General features: G+C 37.3%; 1 long non-coding RNA gene across 1 annotated transcript in view, besides 1 other annotated feature; it reads right to left on the reverse strand.

Moving 5' to 3' along the window:
• Positions 1-22,496, reverse strand: part of LINC01470 (long intergenic non-protein coding RNA 1470) — a 353,385-nt gene that overhangs the window by 15,486 nt on the left and 315,403 nt on the right. The window lies entirely within an intron of this gene.
• Positions 8,308-8,893: an enhancer, noted in NCBI's record as "NANOG hESC enhancer chr5:152022318-152022903 (GRCh37/hg19 assembly coordinates)". NCBI's record gives its function as "activates a minimal SCP1, AML or CMV promoter by ChIP-STARR-seq in primed H9 embryonic stem cells {active_cell/tissue: H9 hESC(primed)}" and the evidence as "EXISTENCE:reporter gene assay evidence [ECO:0000049][PMID:30033119]".

The following is a 22,496-nucleotide window of genomic DNA, read 5'->3' on the forward strand; positions in this document are numbered from 1 at the left end:
TGAAGAAGATGATGATGCAAATTATTTTCTGAATTCATTTCCCACTGTAACAAAAATATCTACTCTAATGTAATGTCTTATGACTGACCAAGTGGAAATGCCTGTACAGATATCTATCAATGCAGCTAATAGTCCATGCAATAAAATGAGTTCAGCCTCAAACTTCTATCCCTCCTGTTTCAGGAGAGATGTCCATAGCTCCTGGCACCAAGTCCCCAAATCTGCTTCCAGATTACAGCATATGCTCAGCAGGGAGCTGCTCCCTTGTCAACAATGAGCATTAGTATAGCAGTTGGACTGGAAGGAAAAGCCTTGGTCTATTAGGAAGCCTGCAGAGCTTGGTTGCTAGGCAACCCAGTCTGGAGGCAGCAACCAGTGTGCACCAAGAGGAAATCTAGGGAGGTGGGTCTAGAAAACAGGGAAAAGCAATTCTTTTCTCAGAATCAGCTGAGGCAGAAAAAAAGTCAATTGTACTGCCTACCATCCAGGTAAAGAAGTGCTCCATATGTTTATTTATGCAGTACATTTTAGCATCAAAGTGTTAGGTGCCAACACTCACAGGTAACTCTATATTGTCATCTGGAAAATTATGTGACCTTGAGTAGGTGACTTACTCCAGCGTTGGTTTCTCTGACAGTAGCAAAAAGTCAAGGAGTCAGGTAGCAGCAGCTTCTCCTCATGCCTACCACTGCAGCCATCACCCCTGTGCATAACCCTTAAATCAGAGAAACACTGAGTCTGATCTATTAGAAAATGACCCTCTGCCATGCCTTCTCTACAGGCAAACTACAAATATATAGTCATTTCCCATGTGAAAATGCATCTGTCCCAGAGTTGAAAAGCACCTGGAGTCAGATGTCCGTGACAATCTATCACTGAAAGTAATAGATTGTAAGCTTGGCAGATACAGATTTAAAGCAGGGCTCCTTCGCTTATTTTAGTTGTTAACCTTGGGCATGTTTCTTTGCATAGTTTACTCATCAGTGCTTGGGGCCTGACATATTTGTAAACAATGAATAGAGGCTAGTGAGCTAGCCAGTGTAGAGACTTGGGTTAGTGTCTCAGACTAAAACTGAATGGCATGGTTAAAAAAAAAAAAGTACAGGAGAAGGAAGTGAACATGGAAAGGTCCAGTAATAGGAGTTGGGAATCCAGACTTCCGTGGGAGTCTATGTCATCACCAAGCAATCAGTCCAAGTGGGATCTGGATCAATAATTAGAGTCAATGATCCCAGCTCAGAGGATGCACAAAAAGAGCAAGCGCCTGTGAAAGGCCACATTCCCAAGTATCACAGAGAACTACTACAGATCTCTGCTGAGGCAGGAAGATCGCTTGAGCTGAGTAGTTTGAGGCTGCAGTTAGCTACAATAGCACCATTGCACTCCAGCTTCAGAAACAGAGCAAGACCCTATCTCCAAAAAATTAAAATAACAAGAGAAAGAACCAAAATCATTTATTTTTGTTAACTCTTCAATATTTTGATGTACCGAATATACAAAAAAGTTTAAAATCTTTATAATAACATTAAATCAAAATAACTAATAGAATCAAGGCAAAGGAATATTAATTATTGCAGATTCTTCCATTTGCTAGTATGTCTTCAATTAGCAAGTTAAGAAATCAAACACTTTTACTGTATTGTATTAAGTTGTATATTTGGAAAAGGAAAATATTACTTGGGATTTTTCTTTGTTGTGATAAAAGATGGCATCTGTATTTCCAAACATGGAACAGTATTTTTCACATCTTACTTGATGTAAGATTTCTCAAAGTAGAATCATCACTTTTTAAAATGCATCTTTGAAATAAAGGGGGAAAATGCAGGCAAAAAAAAAAAAAAGTTCAGCAAATTGACTCCAAATTCAGAACACTTCCAGTCTGAAATTTGTAATTTGCAGGTATCACCTTTCTTTGAATGCTTTCAGAGGCTTTTGTATTCTTGGATCTGAGTATTTTGCTTTCCAGAAGACGACATTTGCAGATTGTTTTCTATTGAATAGGCCTTGCTCTAAACAATGTGTATCATTTTCCTTTCTGAGCTCCCATCTCCTCACCAATAACAAGAAAAATTGGCCTAGATGGTCTCTGAATCAACTTCAGCTCCAGTATTTTATACATTTTTCTAATACTTAAGAGCCTTGGAACTTTCCATTCATTTACCAGACACATTTTATTCAGTGCCTACTAGGTGCCAGACACTGTCATAGGCACTGAAGATACATACGAAGTTAAATAACCTGGCAAAACTTCTGTTCCCATGGATCTTATGATAGCAGGAGATGGATTGATAACCAGGTAATAGGACTGCCTGATTATTTCATATGGTGCTAAATGCTATGAAGTACTTCAGAAAAAGAATAGTCTTAGTTACAATTTCAAAGTAAAACTATCAAGAAGTTACTTCCTTAAAGCAAAAATTTATTTTCATGGTTCTGTGGGTTGACTGGACTCAACTGAGTGGTTCTCCTCCTCCCTGTGCTGTAGTTGAAGCTTTTCATGCAACTGCATTCAGCTGGGAAGTCAGCTGGGGCTAGAACAACCAAGATGGTGTCTCATTCTCAAGGTCTTTTCATCCTGTTGCCGTGCTGTGTTCCTTCCCAAGCTGTTTTATAGTACGGCAGTGGGACACCAAGAGCACAAGCCACAATATGCAAACGCCCCTAAAGCATATGTGGTCATGATGGTTTTATTTATTGAGACAGAGTTTTGTTCTTTGTCACCCAGGCTGTAGTGCAATGGTGCAATCTCAGCTCACTGCAACCTCCAGCTCCCAGGTTCAAGCGATTATCCTTCCTCAGCCTCCCCAGTAGCTGGGATTACAGGAATGTACCACCACACCTGGCTAATTTTTGTACTTTTTAGTAGAGATGGGGTTTCATCATGTTGGCCAGGTTGGTCTCAAAGTCCCGACCTCAGGTGATCTGCCCTGCCTTGTCCTCCCAAAGTGCTGGAATTAAAGGCTTCAGCCACCATGCTCGGCCTCATCATGGTTTTTTTTTTTTTTTTTTTAATGTGCCATTGGCAAAATTAAGTCACACGGGTAAGCCTAGAGTTGGTTTAGGAGGGAACAGTACAAGGACATAAATGCAGGGTGGTGGGAGATACCAACGTTTGGGGAAGATGACAACTTCCTATCAAAACATGAGAAAAGCCTTTCAGAAGCAGTGCTATTTGAACTGAGACCTGAAGGCTGTGAGTAGATCAGAGAGAAGAAGTTTTCAGGCAGAGAAAAAAACAAGTACAAAGGGGCTGGAGTAAGAAAAGCTTAGTGTTTTCACACATCTGAGATGAGGCCTCTATGACTGGATCTTTGTGAGCAGGGGAAGGAAGAGTTAGAAGATAAAGTCAGTGAGGGTGAGCAAAGGCCAGATCATAAGGCCTTCTAGGCCATAGTAAGTCTTCAGGTTTTACTCTACATGCAGAGAGATGCCGTCAATATATTGAAGATGGAGGGTGAATGGATGTAATTTACATTGCAGAAACAAAAGTCAGACTTCTTTGTGAAGAAAGGATGTTAAGAAAATCAGCCCAGGGTTTTTAATAAGTTGGAAACTTAAAAAAGACTATACTAGATTGAGAGGTTTAAATGACAACAAGGTACAATGAGTGAGTCTGGAATGGGGGAAAATAGCTGAAAAGACAATTGAGGATAATTGAAGCAATTAAAAAATTATTAAATGGAGAGAGATTATCCACTGGAAACAATTTACAAAACAGGAACACTATGCTGTCACGTTGGTTTAAAAAAAAAACCCACATATATGTACATGCATGGATAGAGATCCACAAAGATGTATATTAAAGTATCCTCTTAGTGGTGATTCATGAGTATAAGATTGTGATGTTTTTATTTGCTTTAAAAATAATGGTAAGGAGGCAAGATTGAAAACTTGAATAGATAAGAAGCTGCTGCGGGTGAGATAATTGTCATTTTAATAGATTAATTGCACTGAAGTTGGTGAGAAGTAGATATATTGGGGATATATTTTGGAGGCAGAGGGTTAAGACTTACTGATGAATTAGCAATTCTAGGAGAGGTAAAAATTAGAATGACTCCTAGGTTTGTGGCTTGAGAAACAGATGGAAGTGGCTGACATTTTCTGAGATGAGGAAGACCAAGCAAGTCAGAAGTGGATACCTTTCTTAGAGGGAGGTTCAGAGGTGCATGGACACTCTGTGGATGATGACTTATGAGATGTACCATTTGAAGTTCTAAATTGTCTCAGATGAGTTCCCTTTGATCTCCAGAGTTCTATTCAGGCCAAACTTTGTCAATCAGATTCTTAAAAATATGGCTAAGCGAGGCTGAATGAATGAAGACATGTCTTGAATGGTTCTCCTGGGATGCTAGGTAGAATGTAAATAAAATAGCACAGGATGCTCCATTACTCATGACTCTCCATTTTAGGAAGTCAGTACTCATACTTGAAATGGGCCAGAGCAAAGGAACCCAACTACTTACCACAAATGAAAATAGGACCACTGAAGAACAGAAAGAACAGTAAAGGTTACTATGCCGAGAGAGTGAAATCACACATTTTGGAGAGAGATTTATCAACATAAATCATCACTTTTTTTTTAGCCAACTCTCAGTTATATGAAATCTCCAGTTAACACAAACTCATATGTGATGGTTTTATTGTGATAATTTCACAACTTTGTAGGACTACCTGGAAGACTTCCCTCTCTCTGCTAAAATAAAGCAATAAAAGTTTTATTACAGGTGGAGAAGAATTTCCTGAATAGTAAGTCAGGACTAGAATAGAGGACTCTACCCACAGAAGTAAAGATTTCTGCCCTTTGAGACTATTTCCTAATTTATGACTTCATGTCCAAGTCTGTAAGACAAAAATAACCAGACTGTTGAAAGGCAACTCCATCCAGTGTATTTTTAAAAACCTGGCCCATAACCAATCTACCCAGATGCTTCCCAGCTGAATCAATCCAGATGGTTCTTTGAAACAGCCAAACTGCGCATTTCAGATGTGCCACAAATTTGGATATTGGAGATCTCAGGCTCGTCACTAAATAGGAAATCTGTGATGCCAATTACAGAAGCTCTGAGACCATGGGAATTAAGAGGGTAGGGGTAAAATGTCAAGTGATGAGCAGGTGTAATTTTTAACGGAAAAGCAATTCCCCAGCCTTCAATTGAGTTCAGGTATTCAACACAGTTTCTTCATTAACATTGTTCCATTTTTATAAAAAATATTGAAATTTTATACTGTCTAAAGAAAAATCTCAGAATACATGCTTTCGCTGTTCTTATTTAAGAAGTAACTTCCCAGTGGAAAGAAGATAATGTATAAAACACTTGGTTGTCTTAACAGCCTGTACAAAATAGTTGGGTGTATAGTCAAAAGTTTGCTTTCTTTAGCATAGCTAGACTAGTAAGGCTAAATGATAACTGTTCTAAACATTTGTTCTCAAAAAAGTCTCACATAAAATAATTTTCTCAACTATCAAATATAGAAAACATTTATCCATATCAGATAGACCATATTTCATTGCATAGTTACGTAATGCAGGCTTGCAGACAGCTGTGTAACTAGAATTCATCCTAAGACAGGCACGTCCTTCCCTTTCAGATCATCAATACATATAGCCTATTGATAATCAAATCTTAGTGTCTTTGAAAAATTCCCCAATAAGTGAGTTTAAACACTGGAAGTCTAAGAAATGGGGACAATAAAATATATGGGCAGAAGGCTGAGAAATTTAGTAGAGATCAGATTAAGCACTGGACTCAAGTTCTAGTTGGTTTCCATGGTGAGAGAAGGACAAAACAGGTTTTAAATAATCCATAGGTGCCTTCAGATGCCAAGTGAAGATGCCCAGTGATGGGCCATAGGCACTCTGCTTGATCTCTTCTCTTGGTAGAAGTTCTATTTCCATAGAGGGAAGAACAATGCTAGAGACAAAACAACTCAGGTCACAAAAACTCCCTGAGAAAATTATACAGAACTGGGTTCATATACTGACTGTATCAATTATTAGCTCTAGGACTTTGGATATGGCCCTTCACTTCTCTAAGTTTCCATTTTCTCATCTGTAAAAGTGTTGGTTTTGGAAATTAAGAGGCTGATATAAATACTTTAAAGTATACAGTGTTTGATATCAAATAAGTCTCATTAATGTTAGCTGTTTTTTATTATAGTCTAAGGAAATAAACAGCATAGATAAACCAAAAAATAAATCATGCGGTGGCTCACACCTGTAATCTCAGGACTTTGGGAGGCCGAGGCAAATAGATTGCTTGAGCCCAGGAGTTCGAGACTAGCTTGGGCAGCATGGCAAAACCCCATCTCTGCAAAAAATTAGCTGGGCATGGTGGTGTGCACCTGTAGCCCCAGATACTCATGAGGCTTAAGTGGGAGGATTGCTTGAGCCCAGGAATTGGAGGTTACAGTGAGCCAAGATCATGCCACTGCACTCCAGCCTGGGCAACAGAGTGAGACCCTATCTCAAAAAAATATTAAGAAAAACATTCAAACTAATATTATGGATTTTTCAATTGCATAACAGCACTATTTCTGAAAATGCTATAGTTCCTTCAAATACTGTAGGGAATAGAATCGCATGGAAAAGCCACGTAGTGCTAGAAAGCATATAGCTCTCTCAATACTTACAGTCTGAAATTTTCTTAGTAGCTATTAATATTATTTTATCACTGGGCCAAATTTGTTGACAAACAATTGTCTTAACATTCCAGGGGGCCTACAGAGATAAGATGATTAAATCTACTGTGGATTCATTCTTAGCTCCCTAATTTGCAAATTTAATAACTTTTGGTTGAATACCACCAACTTTAGGCTGGTAGTGCAAAGATGGTGCAACTATAAACAGCTTCTGCCGTGAGACACAGTTCAATCGTGTCAACTAGAGCTGTTCTTGTTTAACCCATAACTATTTGAATTCTAAATTCTGTATTTTCCTTTGCATGTGTGGAATCTCTCTTACATGGAATTGAATATATGTAACATGTTTTTTCTTTTCCTTTATCTTAGCTCTATTCCTTGGACTAGTCCTTCATTCATAGGTCAATTAAGTTTTTAATAAACCACACATACCGAAAACAATAGGAAAACTCTTACAAGGCAATATTTGTAACATGTTACGGTTCTAATAGCACATACACTTATATAATGCCCCATTTACCAATGGGGGATCTGAGGTCCAGAAAAGACCAGGTTACATAGGAGCAGGGGAAGGGAATTATTATTCAGGTCCTGGTGTTCTGACTCTATGGCGTTTTTTTCTATTTCACCATTCTGCCCAAATATTATGACCTGAGGAATTAGGATGGGGAGAATCAGGGAAAAGTACTGAGCAAAAACAAGTCTCAAAGGCAGTGATAAACAAGAAATGGGCCAGGAGTGGTCATGAGGGTATTTTCAACCAGGTACAGCCACACATATCCTAGTTTATGGATTAAAAACTCAGGCCTTGAATTTTGAGGCGGAAAAGCGTAAGTCTGTCATTTGGCTCTTTCATCCTTACGATGGTAATGTTATTTTCTAGCACAGAATGCTTTTCTGCATGGTGGGTGGGCTGGCCACAGTGCCTAATTTAATCTTCCACTGAATATATTTCCTCAAATATAGTATCTTTGTTGACAGTTATTAAATGCCTGGTTGACTACAGACATCAAAGAATTGAGGAACACACATTAGGTGCTGCAGATTCATTTAGCAATCAAAGAGAACTGCTGGATAAATAACGACCAGAGTAGATTTATTTTCAGGATGAATGGCCAGTTGCTATGTGAATTGCAATTCCTGCATATGTCCTCTTCATCAGCTTGCCAGAACACTCCAGAGGCACTCGTTTGAGGCCTTTCAGAGATTGGTTTTTAAATTCTTACTGCTGCTTAACCAACAGTTCTTTCAGATGCCAAAATGAATTTTCCTCGCTCACATCATTCCTCCACTATACGTTTAGTTTTTTTCACTATCTTAGCTGGCGTGGCATCTGTTACTTGAGAAATTCCTAAAAAGGGGGATTTTTCAATCCTCTCGCCTCTTCTTTCCCAATCTCTAGGGCGACCAGGCAAGTTCGCATGGAACCACACTCTTTGCTCTGCGGCTGTTCTTCTAAGCTGAAGTGTGCCTGGGAGTTTCACATTCCCAAGTCTCTACCTCCTCATTCTTTGTGTAGGCCTTCCACTGGTCAGTATTTTAGGGAAGATTGAGTCATACTGGTGACACAAGTGAATTTCATCTTATACCATCTTAATCCTAAACAATGATCCATATCTAGTAGAGGAGAAAACACAAATGCCTGCAGGCGCATGAAATGTAGCAAAAAAAAAAAAAAAAAAAAAAGAATCTGAGACTGGTGAGGCCAGTGGTGAAGAGGGGAGGACATACCTTGTCTAATGGCATTCTCATTGCTCATCATTATCAAGACTTTTTTTTTTTTTTTGAAGGACAACTCTTTCAAGCCAAATTTAAAACACCGGTGGGGCAGATTGGATCTTGGTCTCCCATTTGTAACTTCTTATTTACTTCTTTGTAATTTTCAAAGCAGTATCACAGTATGTGCATTTGATTCCCAGGGCAACTTAAAGAGAGATGGTAATGATTAGTTCTTATGCAAATGAGAGAACACAGCTTAGAGACTTAAAGGAGACCAGGGAAGAGTTAGGGCTCAAACCCAAGCCTTTTCTCTGCAACCCCAGAGAAAAGGAGTTGCACTCTTCATTACACTATGCCTATTTTTCCTCCTCTCTACTCCAGCTTTTCTGTCTAGGTAATCAGGGCCCCATTTATCTCCTAGTCATTCAGGGATACTATATTGATTCTAAGTCTGGGGTCTCAACAATTTCCATTTTTCCCTCAAGAACTTTTATGCCTGCTGTGACATTTTAGAATGCCTGTTAATGTGTTTGCCTATCAGTGAGTAATTCTAGGTGAGTAATCAGATAGGCTAAGAGTTTTAGGCATCACAATGCTGGAGTTCCTGTGTCAACTGTTTTTGAGAGAATTAACAGGAGTTGGTATTTTTTTCACTGAACAAACATTATTAGCATACTTAACATCATCTGATAGTTTTCTAAAAAGGGAGTTTAATTTCCCTTTCGCTTAGAAACTGCAAATAATAATAAGTGCAGAGTACAAACTTTGTGGGCCAGAAAATTTTGGTTCAAACTATAGAACCACCACTCTCAAGCAATGTGACTTTGGCAGCAAATCCTTTCAACTGCTTACACCGAAGTTTCCTCATCCATAAAATGGATAGTAATACTAGCTAACTGAATGTTCTAAGAACAAAATGCGATAATGCATGTAAAGCATTTGATACAAATACAATAAGGTCTTTGGTAGATTTAATAACATAACCCAGGCAGAATGTGCAAGAGATATTTCAAGACCAAGTCCATCAGATTACAAAGAATGCCATCTTTCCTTTTTCCATTGTTTTCTCTCAAGCCAAGCTCTGAGTCAATTAGAGACAGAAGCACTCTCCTGCCCACCATGGTCTACAAGTAGCCCCCATATAACTCATTGTTTGCTCTCTGACCCTGGTAATATAAATTTGACCCCAGATGGTATGAATATACAATTGTGTATAAGAAAGAAGCAGATTACATTTGTCTGACACTTATCTCTGTACTATAGCCAATTTTCTAATTGATGTGATGCTTTTTTAAAAGTAAATCATAGTCTCTTTTTACTTAAGCATGTTCAAACTTGTTGCAAAAAGCAAAATATTCCTCCTAGTATGGAGTGAAAAAGCAGTCTGTAAACACAGATCTTCCAACGTTCAAAAGGAAAGAAAGGGTGTGACTGAATTGCAAAATTATAAGGAACGTTAGGGAAATGTAAGCCAGAACTGTGAGGGGAACAGCTGAGAAGGGAAAGGGTGGGAGGAGTATTGATATAAGTGAAGTCAATTTTCAACAGAATAATAACAAATAAGATGGTTTAATAAGAATAAGAAATCATCCAGATAATGGCATGTTGGTATGTGACCTCCTCTGGTAGTAAAGGAATACATTAAATCAATCAGTTAACAAACAAATAAGTGCAAGCACATGACTCCAGGCATAGGTAATGGTTTACTGGATAGCTGTGGACAAGGTCATTATTCCTACTGTGAGTAAAGTCAATAAAATCACTACTGAATGGCTGCTTGGCTGCAATGTAATAGGCAGACCCACTCAGGGCAGATTCTGAAGGATCTGTTTTACAGCACCTCCTTCCAACTCAACTCCCATCTAAAAAACCTCTCTTAGATTTCAGTGAGCCAGATACATGGGTAGAAGTGTGCTTCAGAATCCTCCCTGAAGGGAGATTCCATCACACAATACTTCCCTTCAAGCCACTGCTTGAATAAGATCATCTTGCCATTGCTTCTCAGACGGTCATTGTTCAAGGCACCCAGCAGTACTATTTTTGTTTTTTTCCTTGTTCCTGAGTTTTTGCCAGAACAATGCAAATGGAGTTATATGTCCCCTGCCATGGCATGGTATTTGCCACTTGGAAGGTGAGGTGGGCTCCCAGCTTGGTTGACCTATTACTTCTATCCCTAGTTACAAAGTCCTTGTCACTCAGATCTGAGATTGAGACATAACTGTCACTTTACTATTTGGCAAAATATTTTACTTTTCCAAGCCTATTTCATGACCTACAATGAGGATAAGGTTGTTCTAGTCCCAAAGGTTAGGAAAGTTAACATTTATACAATTCTTAGCATTGGTTAGCATACTTTGAGTGCTGAACCTGTTGTCAATTTACTTCAAATTTAATCATGAAAAATCTCATAGAAGTTAATTGTGACACTTAAAGGTATATTATTTCATTTGAGAAGAAAAAATCTGTTAGGTTTATTTTGAGGAATTACTTAGAATGGATGCATTTTGAGAGGAATATAGTGATCAAGAAAAATAATGAAGCCATTGACCTTAAATATACTCTTGGACTGATAGACTAATGACTAATTTTTTTTTTAACTTTTACAATTAGAAAACTAGAAGGTTAGATAATTTTTAAAGGCTGTGTCACCACAAATTTATCTCTAAATCCCAGAGTAAGAAACTGTATCAAAGATTCTTAATATGCTCAGCAAAGACATCTTTAAGAGGACTCTAGTCTAATTCAATCCCAGTGCTTGAATTTTTCCACATTAACTCTTTCTGCTTTTATATCTTAGATGGTAGGGGACTTGCTATCTCCTCAAGACTCTTAATTCTCTTCTGAACTTGAATGTCTTCAACTACTCTATTTAAACACACTATATGAAAGACATTTCTGACTCCCTGCAACTTCCAGAAATTTAATTCTTGTTGTCACAATGTACATAACAAGTCTTTCCTTAACAAGACAGTCCCTTCATTTGATTCAAAGAGGGTATCACAGACCTTAGAATCTTTTCTTTCTAGTTAAATAACCTTCGGTTGTTCAATTATACTCCATGGCTGATAGTTTTAAAATCTTTTTTTTTCCTCTTGGTAATATTCCTCTCAAAACACTAACTTGGTGGTATGGTGTCCTTCTTAATGAATAGCACCCAGAAACATTCCACATGCTTATAATCTGAATTCTACATCTCATGTTCTCATAATCACAATTGCATGTCAAATTGTTTCAACCTTTATTCCACATAAGCTCCTGCCAGGCCACATTGCCTAGGTCCACTATGTGTATTTCCTATGTGTATATTTGTTTAAATCTTATATTTAAGACATACACACAAACTAATATGTCAGTTAGTCTGGAGATAATTTTCATCTGTTTTTTTTCCCCAAGAAGAATACTTGCTCATCTTGATAGATAATATTTTTGCACTGTGAAAAGAGGTTAGGTTCTGTCCCATTAGGCAAGGTATTTAAATTCGCTTAAACTCTCAGCTCTTAGGTAAAATGGGCATAATACTAAGACGTGAAGATTTAAAGAGTTATAAAATAATGATGGTACATGGTGACTTCCAGAGAATCAGAATTTGCAACCCCTCAAGTAAATCAGATTTTCTTTTTTCATAAGCTACACGTCTCAGAAGCACTTTGTGTCTACTTATATTACATTCCTAGAAGGAAACTGGTTACCAACCTCTACAAAATAACCTTAGTCTTATACTTCAAGCCTTCATCATCCTGCAGAGGTTAAATTAACAGTTGCTTTGACATTCATTCTTTGACCTCACAGTTTTCAGGGCACATGAACCTCCAAGAGAAAGGAAATAGGTAGGAGTCATCGGAAATTTTATCTTTGGTCTTTTTAGGCAATGTAATTCTTTTTATTTTTCTTAAAATTTAGGGAGGATTTTAAAAAGTTATCAGATAGAAATAGAGCCATCTCTTTAATTGTAGAAAATTGTAGTTCATCTACATATAAACTATTTTAAGTGAAGAGATTGCTTTCTGGAAATGAATAGTCCTGATGTGGATTGAAATTTAGGAGTTTGCATTTTAGCTTTGCTATGCAATTAGGCAGTATAATTGTCTACTGTAGCTAAAATTCTATATTTTATATTGTTTTGCTTCAGATTGCTGGACCAGTTCATGATTCCTTATGCGAAATGAGGTTTCACATATGTTATAATGACAAATTATGATTTTTGTATGTTTACAATACTTAATTTTATAAATTATTTTTTATCGACAAATTAAAACTGTATTTATGGTATACAACATGTTTTGATATACGTATATACTGTGGAAAGGCCAGATCCATCTAATTAACATATGCATTACCTCACATATTTGTCATTTATTTTGGTATTAAGAATTCTTAAAATCTACTCTTTTAGCAATTTCCAAGTATGTAATGTATTGTCAGTAATTGTAGTCACCCTGATGCACAATAGATCTCTTAAACTTATTCCTCCTGTCTAACTGAAATTTTGTATCCTTGACCAATATTTTCCCAATCTTTAAACCCCAATACCATGTATTTTAATAATGTTTACTTACCCTTTGGAAGTGAAGATATATTTTTCTATTTTATACCTGAGCAAACTGAGGCTACTCTAATTTTATAAACTAGGATGGAAGCTATCATTTCTTCTTCTAAGGGAGAAACACAGTAACAATAATGACTATTAAATAAATGAAATAGTAATTAAAACAGTATGACCTTATTATAATGCAAGGATGACAGAAGTATTTAAATGCTAAGAGGACATTTGCCTTGGGGAGTAAGGACTGGTTGCTGTGAACCCTTCTGTCCCCATCCGTAATAAATATAACAACAATTCTATAAAAGGGGTTTAAAAAAGTTATTTGTGGTATGAAACTGAGCAGACAGACATTTGGATTTGCATTGTACCATGATTAAACTCCTTTCTCTTAGCTGAAATCACATGTTCCCTTCTCCTCTTTACTAGGCTAGGATTTCTTCAATCTCTTGCTTCATGAATGGCCCTCAGACAAATTAAAAGCCCGGGAGAATTGCCATATGGATATTTCTAACATAACATGACAAGTTTCATAGGAGATCTACCCTGAAGGCCATCAACATGAGTTGCCCAGGAAAAGATTTCAAACACTCTGAAGGCAAAAAAGAAACAGTGACCACAGGTGGCATGCCAACCTTTTAAGAGTTGTGGTTATTTAAACTGGGAGAGGGTTCTGGGCAAGGGATACCTCATTTGGTAGTCGTCAACATATACGTGGTAGTGGTATTTATGTACTACAAATAGATTAGATTAGCAGAATGGCTATTGATAGAGAAGCAAAGAGGACCAAGGATTGAGGCTTGGTTTATTCCCATGTTTAGAATCTGGGGAGAAGGGGAGGAAGCAGCACAGGGAGTTAAGTTGGAAGAGGTAGAAGCTGAACCAGAACAATTGAGGTATCCTGGAAGCCAAGTGAAAAAAATATTTCAGGCTGGGTGCGGGTGGCTCACACCTATAATCCCAGCACTTTGGGAGGCTGAGGCAGGTGGATCACTTGAGGTCAGGAGTTGGAGATCAGCCTGACCAACATGGTGAAACCCCATCTCTACTAAAAATACAGAAATTAGCCAGGTGGAGGTTGCAGTGAGCCAAGATCATGCCTGCACTCTAGCCTGGGTGACAGACTGAGACTCTGTCTCAAAAACAAAAAAGTTTCAAGGAGGATCTGCTTGTTCCAAATGTTACTGATGGGTCAAATGGGATGAAAAAGGAGAATGAAATACTGGGGTTAACAATGTGTGTAGAGCAATAGTGATATTAAAAAGAAAAAATTTGTTACAAGGGATAGGTGAAAGTCTAATTGGAGTGAGTTAAAGAAAATTGGAGGAGAGGCTTTGGAGAGAGTACCACAGAAAGTCTTTTTAGGAATTATACTGTTAAGGGGAACAGAGAAATGGGGCTGCAGCTAGAGAGAAAAGTAGGTTAAAATGAGTTTTGTTATTTTCATTTTGTGTCTTAAAATGAAAAAAATTTCATATTTATGATCTGAATGGAAAAGTCCAGTAGAGGTAAGAAATTGATGAGAGAATGTATAAAACTGAAATGACCCTGAGAAGGTGAGAAGTGATGGCATGTGGTGCACCAGTATAAGGATTGACCAGGTGGGAATTTAGAGTGTGCATGGGAATTCTTACATTGCTTCACTCTGGAGCACAGTGGCCTGAGTTTGCCTGCTGCCTTTGCCACTCTTAATGCTAATTTCATTAGGTTTTAGGGAGATTAAATAAATCTACATATACAAAGTATGTAGAACTGTGCCTGGCCCATAGAAAATGCTTAATAATTAGTAGTTGCTTTTATTCTTCCATCATTTGATGAAAAGTCACATCTTCCAATAACAAAATAGGATGTATTATCAGATTTAGTCTATTCCAGGCTAGCACTATCTGTCTCTGCTTCTTTTGAACTCTGCCTAGCAGAAGAGTGAAGATATTCCAAGTCACTCTCCTGGGAGAAGCTAAACGTGGCAAAAGGATGATGCATATAGTCTATTATTCCTACTTGTTTTTTACATGGACTTATTCTAGTAACATTTAATTTTCAATAGCTCTTTAAGATAGATACAATTATTGTCCACCTTTGTTAGGTAAGTGATCTGGAAGTCAGAAAGGTTAAATACTTTGCCCGAGGTGACAGTATTAAAGTTGGCTGTGAACCCAAGAAGTCTGACTTCACTGCCCTTCTAATTAGTCTACAGGTAAGTATTCATAATTTGTATTATACCTTTTTGGTCCAAAGCATTCTTACCTAAATATTACTGTAGTTAGCTAAGGATACTGAGAAATACATTAAATTAACCATGTCATATCTTTAGCAAAGAAAAGAGTGCACATTAGTCAGTATCAAGTGGAACAGAAGCTTAAGGAGGCTATTAGGAAGGAATTAAAATAGTGAGTCATGAAACTTTTTCCAAAAGGATCCTATGCCAAAAAAAAGAATTGTGGAATTACCAGGCTATAGCTCAGCATGGTGAACAAGATTCTCTTCCAGAAAGGTCTGAGGATTAATCAGTTAATCATTTGGTGACATTTAATCAAGAGTCAGAAATCCAATCAATGGCCAACCTATTGCAACACTGGGGGTACTGGTTTGGCTTCTTGCCTGGATTGTCCAATGTTAATTAGCAATTATCTCAGCTGGATGACCCCTTGCTCCTGGGAAATTTCAAAAAGAAAAAACTATTTCTAAGTGGAAATTTCACCTTTTGCCTTCATCAGTTGTTATTAGTCAGTATGTTTATTCAGTTTCCAATGTCACATGGACCCATTTGACAAAAAGATCTGGGATTAGCCCAACAGTTACTTTAATGAGAAGAAAAAATGGAGCTGTCCTGAAGGCAGATGAAAGATTCTCTTTATTTTCATCTCGTTTTATAACTTTCTTCCTTTCTGTCACTCCAAAAACTGGCCTTATTTTATTAATTTAAGTTCCTTCTGGACTCAATAAAAGAAACCCAGCCCAGAGTCAAGAATGATTTTTGCTTCAACTCAAAACTCAGTTTTGAATTTTTTTTTTTCAGAATAAAGCCTTACTCAGATTCCTTCAATGATATTTTCTTTTGACTTCCACTTCGGAAGGTCTTAGATTCAAATCATGACTTTCCCTCTATGTGTCCACAGGCAAATGACTAAATTCTTTGAGTCTGTTTCAGAGGGGAGGGTCAGGAAAAGCATTTGTGTAGAGGTGTCATGTTAGCTAGGAGCAAAGTGAGCACACACAATGATTATCAAGATTGAGGACATTCCTGGAAAAGTGCTTTGTATCTTGTGGCTGGAACAAAATGAACCACACAAAGAGTGGTATATGCTGAGGCCAGAGACAGACACGGGCTGACCACACAGGACCTTGTAGATAGGGTGAGGTGTAAGAGGATTTTACCCAAAATGCAAGTGGAATCTATGGGAGAGTTTTAAGCACTGGAAGGATATGATCTAATTTACGTTACAAAAAATTCTCTTTAGTTTCTGTGTAGAAGACCAACAGGAGAAAATGTAAATAGAGTATGTAGCCCAATGTCTGGCTTATAGTATTTGAGAAATGTTAGCTATTGTCATTATTATTATTGTACTCAGTGAGGGGCACACTCCCTAGGATGGCATGTCAGAATCTTCCCTGAGAGGGGGCTGCATCTCAAACTAGGAATCCCTTAACCCCTAAAGCATGTAGTCAAGTTCTATAGGAAGAGGTGCTCTTACCAGGGTCCCCTCCACTTTCTCCATTTTCCTGTGGAGTATCATCAATGGCATGGTGTGTGTTGTCCATCTCAAGTGTGATGAAGGTGAACATAATGTTGAGAACCTTCATGGTTGTATCTAATCTCCCTCTGCAGAATTATGCTGCCACTGGGATTATATCAAACTCAAACTGGTCTGCAGTTCATTAGAGAACCCATTTCTACACCAAATGGAGGAACATAATATTTGCAGATAAGCACATTTCAAGGAACTCATTAGAACTCCAATTTTAAAAGCTGCAGCAGTGAAAGCAAGTCAATTTTTATAACATGTATTTATTTGCTGCTGTTAATAATACCAACAAGTGGCCTTGGATGACACTGAAAACATGGAATGACATCTTGCAAAACTTCATCTCATTTGACCTTTACAATAATCTGGTAAATTAGGTAAAGTTGGTATGGTGACTTCCACAGGGACAAGGATTGTGTGACATGCCCAACCCCACCAAGAGCTCCAACTGTGACCCCTAGTTGTAAATCACTGTAATACTCTTTTCATCATCCTAAATGACTGCTGCCACCACTTGTCTAGTGTTATGGAGAATAGGAGCATTTTAAAGTGCCATATAGAATGGGGATTTCTAAAATGTCATAGTAAAAAGCATGCCAGTGTTAATTTAGTATTCTAAAAAGAGAGCAATTCTGAATGGGCACTCTTAAACAGAAAATGTATGCGTTCGAACATTTTGCAGGGGAAGACTAGATTTCACTTGGAAACCTAATCTGTTTGGAATCAACTATATCTCTCAGGCACATGAAAAACCTGCTAGGTTTTGGAGAATAAACTGCCTAGGTGTAGTTTTGTTTTTAACCTATGATTTTCATGAACCTTCTTAATAAAGATTCTAAAATAAAAGCGGAGCTAACAGTCTGAGGAAATTCTAGGATTTGCAATGGGATTCCTACTTTTAAAATGAACCACTTTTTTGTTTTCATTTTGTGAAGTGTTTATTAAATGATAACATCCATAGAGGACGGTCCACACATTTTGAGTCTAACTATTTGACTAATTTTTACCAAGTGAATATGCCTGTGTAATCACCACCCAGATTGAGAAACACATCACCAGCATCCCAGAAACTTTCCCTCCCAGTTAATACCCTCTTATCCAGGAAACCACTATTTTGATTCTCTTATCCTAAGTTAATTTTCATTCTCTTAAATTAGTGGATATGATTTGATATCACATTTGGTGGGGCTTTCTTTAATGCTTTCCTTGAGGCATAATTATTTACATAACATAAAATTTAACCATAAGTATACACTTAATCATTTATAGACAACTTAGAGTTGTGCAACCATCACCATAATCAAGTTTCTGATCACCTAAAAATTTCACCCTGCCTGTTTACAGCTAATGTCTACTCCCATTCCCATCTCCCACCCGAGACAACCACTAATCTGTGTTCTGTTTGTATATATTTGCCTTCTGTGGAAATTTTACAAATTGCAAGCACACAATATGTGCTCTCTTGTGTCTAGCTTCCCCCACTTAGCATAACGTTTTTGAGGTTTATCCATGTTTAATTAATAGTCACCACCTGCATTTTCTGGAAATACCACTGCACCCTTAATAGTCTCATAAAATCAAGTCCTGCAAAGGGGAAGATATAAATATTGAAAGAGGGTTTTGAATGACAGAGGTTTGTGAATCAGTAGTTTGTTTCTTCTTATGGATGAATAACATGCCAATGTGTGACTTTTGTTCATCAGTTCTCACACATTTTGGTTGCTTCTACTTTTTGGTTATTATGAATAGGGCCACAATGAATATACAAGTCTTTGTGGAGATATGTGTTCACTTACTTACCTTGGTAAGATACCTAGGAGTGCAATTGCTGGGCCATACGGTAAGTATGTCCTTAACATTTTAAAGAACTTCCAATCTGTTTATAACAGTGGTTGTACCTTTACATTCTCATACTAGCAATGTATGAAGCTTCTAGTTTCTTCACATTCTTACCAATATTTCATATTAGTTTCGTTGATTCTAGCCATACTAATAAGCATGTAGTGCTATCGCATTGTGGTTTCATTTGTATTCGCCTAAGACTAATACTATTGAGCATCTTGTGTTTATTAGCCATTTGTATATTTTCATTAATAAAATTTCTACTTTAAACTTTTGCCCATTTAAAAACCTTGAGTTACATGTGTTCTTTATATATTTGGACCACAAGTCATTTATCAGATATATTGTGATACAATCTGATTTATCTTTTTCTTTCATGGCTGTGCTTTTGGTGTCATATTTAAGAAATCTTTACCTAATCCAAGGTCACAAAGATTTTCTCCTTTTTTTTTCCCATAAGTTTTGTATTTGTAACTGTTATATTTAGACATATGATGCTGTTTGAATTAACTCTTATGTATAATATAAATTAAAGGTCTCTGTTCCTTACATGTACATTTGCTAAAAAGACTAATTTGAATTGTATTGACATGAACATAAATATCAGGATTTATTTCTTGGGTATTTTTCCAGTTCTTTTGATCTATATGTTTATCTTTATTTCAATACTTTACTATCTTGACTACTGTAGCCTTCTAGTAAGTTTTGAAATCAGATAGTGTTAGACATTCAATTTATTCTTTTTTTCCACAAAAATTATTGTTTTGACTATTCTAGGTCTTTTGCCTTTCCAGATATCTATTAGACTCTACTTATTAAACGAATAACAACCTCCTTGGATTTTGATAGGAATTTCATTGAACCTATAGATGAACTGCCATATTAAAAATATTCTGTCTTCTAACAAACACATGAACATGGTGTGTCTCTCTACTTGTTTAGATCCTGAATTTTGGTTGGCAATGTTTTATAGTTTTCAGTGTATAGACCTTGTTTTTTTTTTATTTTTTTATTTTTTATTTATTATTATTTTTTATTATACTTTAAGTTTTAGGGTACATGTGCACATTGTGCAGGTTAGTTACATATGTATACATGTGCCATGCTGGTGTGCTGCACCCACTAACTCGTCATCTAGCATTAGGTATATCTCCCAAAGCTATCCCTCCCCCCTCCCCCCCACCCCACAACAGTCCCCAGAGTGTGATGTTCCCCTTCCTGTGTCCATGTGATCTCATCGTTCAATTCTCACCTATGAGTGAGAATATGCGGTGTTTGGTTTTTTGTTCTTGCGATAGTTTACTGAGAATGATGATTTCCAATTTCATCCATGTCCCTACAAAGGACATGAACTCATCATTTTTTACGGCTGCATAATATTCCATGGTGTATATGTGCCACATTTTCTTAATCCAGTCTATCATTGTTGGACATTTGGGTTGGTTCCAAGTCTTTGCTATTGTGAATAATGCCGCAATAAACATACGTGTGCATGTGTCTTTATAGCAGCATGATTTATAGTCCTTTGGGTATATACCCAGTAATGGAATGGCTGGGTCAAATGGTATTTCCAGTTCTAGATCCCTGAGGAATCGCCACACTGACTTCCACAATGGTTGAACTAGTTTACAGTCCCACCAACAGTGTAAAAGTGTTCCTATTTATTTCTCCACATCCTCTCCAGCACCTGTTGTTTCCTGACTTTTTAATGATTGCCATTCTAACTGGTGTGAGATGGTATCTCATTGTGGTTTTGATTTGCATTTCTCTGATGGCCAGTGATGATGAGCATTTGTTCATGTGTTTTTTGGCTGCATAAATGTCTTCTTTTGAGAAGTGTCTGTTCATATCCTTTGCCCACTTTTTGATGGGGTTGTTTGTTTTTTTCTTGTAAATTTGTTTGAGTTCATTGTAGATTCTGGATATTAGCCCTTTGTCAGATGAGTAGGTTGCGAAAATTTTCTCCCATTTTGTAGGTTGCCTGTTCACTCTGATGGTAGTTTCTTTTGCTGTGCAGAAGCTCTTTAGTTTAATTAGATCCCATTTGTCAATTTTGGCTTTTGTTGCCATTGCTTTTGGTGTTTTAGACATGAAGTCCTTGCCCATGCCTATGTCCTGAATGGTAATGCCTAGGTTTTCTTCTAGGGTTTTTATGGTTTTAGGTCTAACGTTTAAGTCTTTAATCCATCTTGAATTGATTTTTGTATAACGTGTAAGGAAGGGATCCAGTTTCAGCTTTCTACATATGGCTAGCCAGTTTTCCCAGCACCATTTATTAAATAGGGAATCCTTTCCCCATTGCTTGTTTTTCTCAGGTTTCTCAAAGATCAGATAGTTGTAGATATGTGGCATTATTTCTGAGGGCTCTGTTCTGTTCCATTGATCTATATCTCTGTTTTGGTACCAGTACCATGCTGTTTTGGTTACTGTAGCCTTGTAGTATAGTTTGACATCAGGTAGTGTGATGCCTTCAGCTTTGTTCTTTTGGCTTAGGATTGACTTGGCGATGTGGGCTCTTTTTTGGTTCCATATGAATTTTAAAGTAGTTTTTTCCAATTCTGTGAAGAAAGGCATTGGTAGCTTGATGGGGATGTTATTGAATCTGTAAATTACCTTGGGCAGTATGGCCATTTTCACGATATTGATTCTTCCTACCCATGAGCATGGAATGCTCTTCCATTTGTTTGTATCCTCTTTTATTTCCTTGAGCAGTGGTTTGTAGTTCTCCTTGAAGAGGTCCTTCACATCCCTTGTAAGTTGGATTCCTAGGTATTTTATTCTCTTTGAAGCAATTGTGAATGGGAGTTCACTCATGATTTGGCTCTCTGTTTGTCTGTTGTTGGTCTATAAGAATGCTTGTGATTTTTGTACATTGATTTTGTATCCTGAGACTTTGCTGAAGTTGCTTATCAGCTTAAGGAGATTTTGGGCTGAGACAATGGGGTTTTCTAGATATACAATCATGTCTTCTGCCAACAGGGACAATTTGACTTCCTCTTTTCCTAATTGAATACCTTTTATTTCCTTCTCCTGCCTAATTTCCCTGGCCAGAACTTCCAACACTATGTTGAATAGGAGTGGTAAGAGAGGGCATCCCTGTCTTGTGCCAGTTTTCAAAGGGAATGCTTCCAGTTTTTGCCCATTCAGTATGATATTGGCTGTGGGTCTGTCATAGATAGCTCTTATTATTTTGAAATATGTCCCATCAATCCCTAATTTATTGAGAGTTTTTAGCGTGAAGGGTTGTTGAATTTTTTCAAAGGCTTTTTCTGCATCTATTGAGATAATCATGTGGTTTTTGTCTTTGGCTCTGTTTATATGCTGGATTAGATTTATTGATTTGCGTATATTGAACCAGTCTTACATCCCAGGGATGAAGCCCACTTGATCATGGTGAATAAGCTTTTTGATGTGCTGCTGGGTTTGTTTTGCCAGTATTTTATTGAGGATTTTCGCATCAATGTTCATCAAGGATATTGGTCTAAAATTCTCTTTTTTTGTTGTGTCTCTGCCTGGTTTTGGTATCAGAATGATGCTGGCCTCATAAAAAGAGTTAGGGAGGATTCCCTCTTTTTCTATTGATTGGAATAGTTTCAGAAGGAATGGTACCAGTTCCTCCTTGTACCTCTGGTAGAATTCAGCTGTGAATCCATCTGGTCCTGGACTCTTTTTGGTTGGTAAGCTATTGATTATTGCTACAATTTCAGATCCTGTTATTGGTCTATTCAGAGATTCAACTTCTTCCTGGTTTAGTCTTGGGAGAGTGTATGTATCGAGGAATTTATCCATTTCTTCTAGATTTTCTAATTCATTTGCATAGAGGTGTTTATAGTATTCTCTGATGGTAGTTTGTATTTCTGTGGGATTGGTGGTGATATCCCCTTTATCATTTTTTATTGCATCTATTTGATTCTTCTCTCTTTTTTTATTAGTCTTGCTAGCGGTCTATCAATTTTGTTGATCCTTTCAAAAAACCAGCTCCTGGATTCATTAATTTTTTTGAAGGGTTT

The sequence above is a fragment of the Homo sapiens genome, chromosome 5 (assembly GCF_000001405.40).
Source record: "Homo sapiens chromosome 5, GRCh38.p14 Primary Assembly".
Taxonomy (NCBI): domain Eukaryota; kingdom Metazoa; phylum Chordata; class Mammalia; order Primates; family Hominidae; genus Homo; species Homo sapiens.